Source organism: Homo sapiens, chromosome 6, assembly GCF_000001405.40.
Source record: "Homo sapiens chromosome 6, GRCh38.p14 Primary Assembly".
Taxonomy (NCBI): domain Eukaryota; kingdom Metazoa; phylum Chordata; class Mammalia; order Primates; family Hominidae; genus Homo; species Homo sapiens.
Window position 1 is genome coordinate 14,107,612 of NC_000006.12, and position 8,941 is coordinate 14,116,552.

The 8,941-nt window shown below is 41.8% G+C and overlaps 1 long non-coding RNA gene across 1 annotated transcript, besides 2 other annotated features; it reads left to right on the forward strand.

Moving 5' to 3' along the window:
• Nucleotides 1,017-1,804: a transcriptional cis regulatory region, noted in NCBI's record as "candidate enhancer chr6.709 targeted for multiplex CRISPR interference". NCBI's record gives its function as "positively regulates CD83 gene expression with high confidence in K562 cells {active_cell/tissue: K562}" and the evidence as "EXISTENCE:mutant phenotype evidence [ECO:0000015][PMID:30612741]".
• LOC124901265 (uncharacterized) lies at nucleotides 1,152-4,197 on the forward strand. The gene is made up of 2 exons (XR_007059464.1): nucleotides 1,152-1,627; nucleotides 2,535-4,197. It is a non-coding gene; the product is annotated as an uncharacterized LOC124901265 (long non-coding RNA).
• Nucleotides 1,441-1,580: an enhancer, noted in NCBI's record as "active region_24045". NCBI's record gives its function as "activates an Ori minimal core promoter by ATAC-STARR-seq in GM12878 lymphoblastoid cells {active_cell/tissue: GM12878}" and the evidence as "EXISTENCE:reporter gene assay evidence [ECO:0000049][PMID:35858748]".

Here is an 8,941-nt window from a genome sequence, read left to right on the forward strand (position 1 = left end):
CATTAATTCAGCAAACATTTATTGAGCACCTACTACATGCCCAATGCTATTCTTGGACCTGAGACTAAAGGAAGTGAATAAGACATGGCCTCCACATTCTAATGGAGGAGAAAAAATATAAATAGGCATACAAATATGTGCGATAATGTCAGATTGAGAGAAGTGCTGTGGGGGAAAATTAAGACAAGGTACAGGGATGGTGCAGGGCTTAGATCTTTTAGATAGATGGTCAAGAGAGACTCTTCTGGAAGAGTAACATTTGAACACACTTGGGTGAAATGAATGAGGAAGTTGGGCTGTGATTCTGGGCAAGAAGTTTCTAGAGAGAGGGACAAGCAAGCTCAAAGGTGCAGCAAGAAGCATACAAGCAGGAGATTTCAGCATAGAAGTTCCTGCCTTTAAAAAAAAAAAAAAAAAAGGCAGCCTGGCATGGTGGCTCACGCCTGTAATCCCAGCACTCTGGGAGGCCAAGGCGGGTAGATCACCTGAGGTCAGGAGTTCAAGACCAGCCTGGTCAACACAGTGAAACCCTTTCTCTACAAAAATTAGCTGGGCATGATGGCAGGTGTCTGTAATCCCAGCTACTCGGGAGGCTGAGACAGGAGAATTGCTTGAACCTGGGAGGTGGAGTTTGCAGTGAGCTGAGATCACACCATTAAACTCCAGGCTGGGCAACAGAGCAAGACTTCATCTCAAAAAAGAAAAGAAGAAAAGAGAAGAAAAGAAAAGAGAAGAGAAGAGAAAAGAAGAGGCTTGCTTTACATGGTCCTTGAAGGACTGTGTTGTGCCTGTGGAGAGACTTTCCACTAAGTGCCTCAAATCAAGCCTGAGACCAATATCTCTGTGTTTTGTTTTTGTGTCACTTGCTGGATTATGCGGTTTCTTCCTCATGTTCAACAAAGGAATTGTTTCACCTCCCTCTTTCCTCCTTGGCAGAGGATGGACACTCTCTCTACAGGCTTTTAGTTTCTAAGAGAAAAAAAGAAAGCAAAGACAAAGCACGAGAAATAAGAGTTATTTCTATTTATTTGGTTCATTCGGTGAACAAACAAGCCCATAACTGGAAAGTACAGGGTGACTAAGAAGTAGCCCTCAGGGAAAAACCTGATGGGAAATTTTATTTAAAAACACAATTTACATAGCCACACTTTGGGCTTTCCTTCCAGCCCTTCTGTGGTTCTCAATGGCCCATGGGTGTTCAGGCCTTAACGCTGGGGAGTGCCGCCAGCAGTGGAGGTGTTCGCGAAGGTTCTACTGGCTTGAGGGAAGGGCTGTGGTAATGGGAACCCGAGACCTGGAGGCCAGCAGATAAGAGCTCTCCGCTGGGGAGCAGAGTCAGAAGGGGCTGAGCACAGAAGGCTTGACTCTCAGCCAGAGCTCAACAAGGGGCAGCTGCTGCGGTAGTCCGTGGGCAGGCCTAGGTTAAGTGCGTTCTTTTCACTCAAAAGCCCTTCTCTGGAAAGGAGGCTCAGAAGGCACACTTGGGGCAGAGGGGAACCCCCGCCTTCCCCTTTTACAGAACTTCCTCATCCTGCAGATCAGTCCAGCCAGGAAGTCAGGCTGGGTAGAGAGCTGGGTGCCTGGGAGTACCATGGGTTTTGCCCCCATTGCTGGCAGCAGTCATCAGGTGAGCTATTTCCAGCCTATCACAAACTTCTTTCTGCCTATTTATGATCCATTCAGCATCTGACAGGTGTCTAAGGCAGACAGCAGAAACGTGTTCACTGGCCCCCCTCCCTCGGGACTTTTTCTTAAAGGGCATGCCTTACTCTCATTTCCTTTTTCTCCTAATCCTCTCTCCTCCCCTGAATTCTCCCATCACTAGTTCTCTCCCTCCTTGTAGAACCACCTTCTGCCCCTGCATCCCAGTCCCCCCAGACCCTCAGTGAGAAACTGTGTAGAACTCCAGAGAGGCAAGCAAGGTCCACTGTGAGAAATGGTATTCAATGGCCAGGCACGGCGGCTCATGCCTGTAATCCCAGCACTTTGGGAGGCTGAGGTGGGAGGATCACTTGAGCTCAGGAGTTCGAAACCAGCCTGGGCAACATAGTGAGACACTCCCCCAGCAACTCCAGAAAAAGGAAACTGTATTCTACTGTGTAAACTTCTTGAGAATGGTCTTTTCTTATGCACCACTTACCAGCTGCTTAGTGAATGTTTAATAGTGAATTAAAACTTCCCTCTCTCCACACCCGTTCCCCATGAGTCCCTGACTTGGGAGGGGCAGGTGAGAGAACTAATAAAACATTCTAGAGCTTTCTCCCCTGGCTCCCAAACTCTGACCAGCTTCTCAAATGTCTAGGTTCACAATGTTCTGCCATGCTCTGTCAGGATGCTCTCTGAGATAAATTAAATGATGAAGCCCTGGCCGTGATGCAAATTGCAATCAGACAGGAAGGTTTGAGGGTCAGAAGAAAGGGAGAGGGACCTGGCTAGCTTTGTTCCTTGCCCAAGGTTACCAAATGCTTGCCTTGGCAGTGAGAATGCGTAACCACAATGTTTTCTAATGATTTTCGGTTTTTCTCTTTCTATAGTCACAGCAGAGAAAACATGAAGGTGACAGCCAGTGGTTTCAGAAAGGCAAGAAGCTCTTCCTCTGCATTCACCTTTCTTTTCCCTTTTCACTGAAAGCGAAGATCAACATACGGGTAAGCCCCTCTCGTACATTCGAGGAAGAACACAAGTCAGGACTCAGAGCTACTGAATTTCCACTCCCACTCCCACGCCAGACACACGCTGCGAAATACTGTCTGGTTTTTTATGATAAGGTAGCTGTAGTTAGCCTGAAAATGCTTCCTCAGGAATGGCCTTCATCAGAGATCTCTTCATACTCAGTATGAGGACATGAGGAAGAATATGCTACGTGTGAAAATACACCTTGGCGTTCAACTCTGTGGGTTAAGAAGGGGTTCCTGTGATGGCAAGCTTTTAGGTTATTGAGCAGCAGATTGGATACTTCTGTTTTTCAACAACATAGGTTTCCATGTAATATGAAAAACAGCTGTTGCAAATTTCTAGAAGTGCTGAATCCAGTCTAATAAATGCCTAGCTGCACCTGCAAGAAAGTAAGGGAATGCTGAAGGGTCAAAAATGGAGGAAGAACTATGACCAGTCTGGGTTGCCCCTGGGGCTGCTGGAGGTAAGGTTGGGGAGGACAGTTGGCCAGGCTGGGAATCCAATATGGGAATATTAATTCACTTTAGAATTTATTAAATCAAGGAGCTTAGGCTTTCATGACCAGCAGGCACACAAGAAGGGGCTTGGGCCCCAGAAGAGTAGGGAGTTGGAACTGAGACCCTGGTGTAAGGATGAACTGAAAACCATTGCCTGCTTACACAGGGAGATGACAGGGAAGCTTGCTTGAGAAAAAGAAAAAAGCTCCCCTTAAAATTAATTTATAATAATTAATGTGCCCTCTCGTGGATATGATATTTAAATTTATATTACTAGAGTGGTCTAAGACATGTCCCACCAAGAAATTAATATAAAATGCTGTCACACACCAATAATATCCTTGGGAACCTGGCTGAAATAAAAATAAAACCTTTCTGGGAGGCCGTACATCCATCCTAGGCCTCCTAGCATACCCTCATATGAAGTCCCAACTAAAGATTAACTTATAATTAAAAACTACCATACAGTCCCGGCATGGTGGCTCATACCTGTAATCCCAGCACTTTGGGAGGCTGAGGTGGGTGAATCACCAGAGGTCAGGAGTTCGAGACCAGCCTTGCCAACATGGTGAAATCCCATCTCTATTAAAAATACAAAACTTAGCCGGGCGTGGTGGTGCCCAGCTACTTGGGAGGCTGAGACAGGAGAATTGCTTGAATCTGGGAGGCAGAGGTTGCAGTGAGCTGAGATCGTGCTGCCACACTCCAGTCTGGGAGGCAAAACCAAAAAAAAAAAAAAACCCCTAAAACCAATAGTTAGTGAACAAAACAAAAAACAATATGAAACAGCCAACAACTTCAGATAAAATATAATTATCAGGTAGATTAAAAATAAGCATGTTTAAAATGAGAAGTCATAAAAGAAGTATAATAATAATAACATAACAGAATAAGACATCAAAAAGATTAGACTGAGCTACATAGGAAATCAAATATAACTCAGAAATTTAAAAATTATCATTTAAAGCTTACTATGTTAAACCAAAGATTATATATTACCAAATAAATAACTAATGAATGGAAAGAAAGATCTGAGGAATCTTCAGAAGCCTGTGCAGAGAGATGAAGAGACAGAACATGCAGAGGAAGGGCTTACTGACAAGGAGTGTGGACTGTGAAGGACCAACCATATCTATTAGATGTTCAAGACATGATAAATGAGGACTAATGAAAGTTATGAACCACAGCAGGTTAAGTAACATGAAATCCTCTACTGGACACAACACAGTATAACTAAAAGAAGACCAGTCGGGTGCGGTGGCTCACGCCTGTAATCCAGCACTTTGGGAGGCTGAGGCGGGCGGATCACCTGAAGTCAGGAGTTCGAGAACAGCCTGGCCAACATGGCGAAACCCCATCTCTACTAAAAACACACAAAAAAATTAGCTGGGCATGGTGGCACGTGCCTGTAGTCCCAGCTACTCAGGAGGCTGAGGCACCAGAATCGCTTGAACCCGGGAGGCAGAGGTTGCAGTGAGCCGAGATCACACCACTACACTCCAGCCTAGGCAACAGAGCAAGATTCCATCTCAAAAAAAAAAAAAAAAAAAAAAAAAGACCAAGTAGAAAGGCCAAGATCTTAGAAATTCTCAAAGACAAAAGCATTGCCTACAAAGGAATGAGTTATCAGGTTGTCTGGAACTTTGCAACAGCAACAACAGAAGCCAGAAGACCAATGGAATAATATGTTCAAGTGCTGAGAAGGAATAACCGTCAACTTACAACTACACTATGATTCAAGGATATGGGCAAAATAAACACTTTCACACAAAAACAGAGAGCATTTTCCACTTGAAGACCTTTGCTAAAAGAATTAACAATATACTTCAGAAGGAATTGAACCAAGAAAGAAGCAGTGAGATGTACAATATGAGATAAATTTCAACAAATATCTAATATGTAAAAAAAGACTACTTGGGGAGTATAAAAACATAGTGGAACAAGGGTACTGGTCATAATAGTAGATGAGATGGGCAGAGTTCGGGCATTTGGGCATTTTAGGGCAAAGGGTGGCAATATTAATTAACTCTAGAATTTATTAAATCGAGTATGCTTATGAAAAATTATAAAAAGTTAATCACATAAGAAGAGAAATAGTATGCATGACTTCCAAACCAGTAGAGAGAACACCACAGAATATATATTTCTATTTTTATTTTATTTTTTGAGACCAAGTCTGGCTCTGTTGCCCAGGCTGGAGTGCAGTGGTACAATCTCGGCTCACTGCAACCTCCGCCTCCTGGGTTCAAGTGATTCTCATGCCTCAGCCTCCTGAGTAGCTGGGATTACAGGCACGCACCACCACACCCAGCTAAATTTATTTATTTATTTATTTATAGTAGAGATGGGTTTTACTATGTTGTTCAGGCTAGTTTCAAACTCCTGACCTCATGTGACCCACCCGCCTCGGCCTCCCAAAGTGCTGGGATTACAGGCATAAGCCACCATGCCCGGGCTAAAATATTTTTATTAATGGTCAATAAAAAGATGCAAGAAAGGAAGAGGCAGAGAAAAATCTGGTTAAGCATAAAGCGTAAAACAAAATGACCAAAATAAATCCTAATGTAGCAGAATTCACAAAGTAATAAAATTAAACCCTCAGTTAGCAAGATAGATTGTCAGTCATACTGGATAGAAGAAAATCTAACAATATACTTTAAAAAGGACACAATAGAATGTAAGGAAAAAGAAATGTTGAATGTAAAAGTATTGAAAACGCCAGCAAGAAATTAACCCAGAGAAAAGAAGAGGCAGAGGATGGTAATATTAAGAGTAAACAGGCTGGGCATGATGGTTCACGCCTGTAATCCCAGCACTTTGGGAGGCTGAGGTGGGCGGATCATGAGGTTAGGAGTTCGAGATCAGCCTACCAACATGGTGAAATCCCATCTCTACTAAAAATACAAGAATTAGCCAGGCATGGTGACGGGTGCCTGTAATTCCAGCTACTTGGGAGGCTGAGGCAGAGAATTGCTTAACCTGGGAGGTGGAGGTTGCAGTGAGCCGAGATCCCGCCACTGCACTCCAGCCTGGGCGACAGAGCGAGACTCCGTCTCAAAAAAAAAAAAAAAAAAAAAAAAGTCAAATAAATGAAGAGAAAAAGGAACAATTCATTGGAAAAACATAACTTCCAGACACTAAAACATAGCATCAAATTATACCAAGCCAAAAAAATGATAAAATTTCAGAGATAAACAGACAATTCTGTAGTCATGGGAGAGAATTTAACACATCTCTTTCAATAATTGATAGTTCATGATTACAGAAGGGATATAGAAGATCTGAGCAACACCATGAGCAAAATCAAAAAGATCTTTCTTTCCGAGTACATGCCACTCTTACCAAAAGATCACATATGAGGCTACAAAGCAATCCTTGATATTGCAACAAAGAATCATACAGACTGTTCTTGAGCAACCTCAACTGTTAGACACCAGTAGCAAAATGAAAAGCAAGCCATATATTGGGAAATTTTTTTAAAAAAACCCTCTAAATAATTCATAATTCAACAAGTGACTTAATGGAGAGTCTAAGAACACATTGTTAACATTAATAAGAAAGGAAATTTCTACTCACTGGCTATGGACACCTAGAAAAATAGAGTTTAAAAAATATATATGTGAAAGTAGCAACACAATGTGAAGGTATCCAGGAAGAAATCTATCAAAAGATGTGAAAAACCTATATATATATAATTTTAAAAATTCTTGAAGACCTAAATAAATGGAAAGATACACAATATGGGATGAATTTGTAGAACTGACTTCTAAAGATGTTGATTTTAGGAGATTTATAAATTGAATATATTCCTACTAAAATTCAAATCAAGTTTTTTGAGGTTCACAAATTGATATAATATGTATAAGGTAGAACAAAGAACCAAGAATGCCAGAACATTTTTTTTTTTTTTGGATACACAGTCTTGCTCTGTCACCCAGTCTGGAGTGCAGTGGCACAATCTCGGCTCACTGCAGCGTGGACCTCCTGGGCTTAAGCGATCCTCCTGCCTCAGCCTCCTGAGTAGCTGGGACCACAGGTGCAAGCCACCATGCCCGGCTATTTTCTGTATTTGTTATTTTTTTGCATTTTTAGTAAAGACCAGGTTCACCATGTTGCCCAGGCCAGTCTTGAACTCCTAATCTCAAGTGATCCGTCCACCTGGGCCTTCCAAAGTGCTGGGATTACAGGCGTGAGCCACTGCACCCAGCCACCAGAACGATTTTGAAGACGAAGTTCAACATGTGAGGACTCACTTCCACCACAGCAAGACTTAATTAAATTATAGTAATAAGAAAGTGTGATATTAGCACAAAGAGAGGCAGAATAGAGTCTAGAAACAGGCCCACTCATATGTAGAAATTTGTATAAAGCACAGATGTCATTTTAAATCAGTAGGGAAAGAAGGACTTTTAGCAAGCAGCATTGGAAAAAATGGTTATCCATATGGAAAAAATAAGTTAGATCACGACATCAAACCATATTTAAATGGATTAAAGACCAACATATGAAAAAGCATGACTTTAAAAGTTTTGGAAGGAAATGAAGGAGAATGTTTTTATGATCTCAGGTCAGGAAAAGATTTCTTAAACACAATACCAGAAGCACAAATCATAAACCAAAAGATCAGTAAATTTGACCACATGAAAATATTTTTTAAAAACTCTTTGGTAAATTAAAGATATCATAAACAAAATGGAAAATACAAATCTTAAACTTGGAGAAGAGATTTGGCATGGATATAACCAAGAAAGGATTTGGCCCAGATTTTATAAACAGCGCTCATGGAAAAGGCCAAAGGATATGAATGACAATGCTCAGAAATATCCAATGTTCTTGAAGCATATGTTATCAATGTAACATAAATTAAGCAAAAAGGATCTAATATTTCACACTCATTAGATAGGCAGAAATTTAAAAAGATCTGGCTGGGCACGTGGCTCACACCTGTAATCCCAGTACCTTGGGAGGCCAAGGTAGGAGGATCTCTTGAGCCCAGGAATTTGAGACCAGCCTGAGCAACATAGTGAGACCCTATCTTTAAAGAAAAAAATCTGATCATGCTAAGACCTGCTGAGGGGAGTGTAAATGGGCATGTGCATTTTGGATAATAAGACGGCAATATTTAACAATGCAGTGTAATTACTGAGCTAGAGTGTTGGAAGACTTTCAGCTCCCCTGCAACATTGTTTATAATCAGGAAAAACTGAAAAGAAGCATAAATGGCTAGGTATGAGATCTGGCAGAGGACACATAGTGGGTCTCAAAAGACCATCCTGGCTAACACGGTGAAACCCCGTCTAAAAATACACACACAAAAAAATTAGTCGGGCGTGGTGGCGGGCTCCTGTAGTCCCAGCTACTCGGGAGGCTGAGGCAGGAGAATGGCGTGAACCCGGGAGGCGGAGCTTGCAGTAAGCTCAGATCACGGCCACTGCACTCCAGCCTGGGAGACAGATCGAGACTCCGTCTCAAAAAAAAAAAAAAAAAAAAAAAAAGAGGGTCTCGAAAATGTTAGTACTGTTTTATTTCTCAAGAATAAATTGTATACAGATGTGTTCAATTCCATATTTTCTATACTTATTTTGTATGCTTAACATTTTCACAATTAAAAAATTAATTTGGTGAGGCTGCTGGAGAAAAGGTACTCACACAAGCTGGCGGGACTGTCAATTGATATAACTACTTCCAAGAGCAGATTAGAACTGGTGGTATAGTGATGCCACTCTTTTTAACCTCTTGGATGGACAAAGATAGAAAGGTTGGATAAC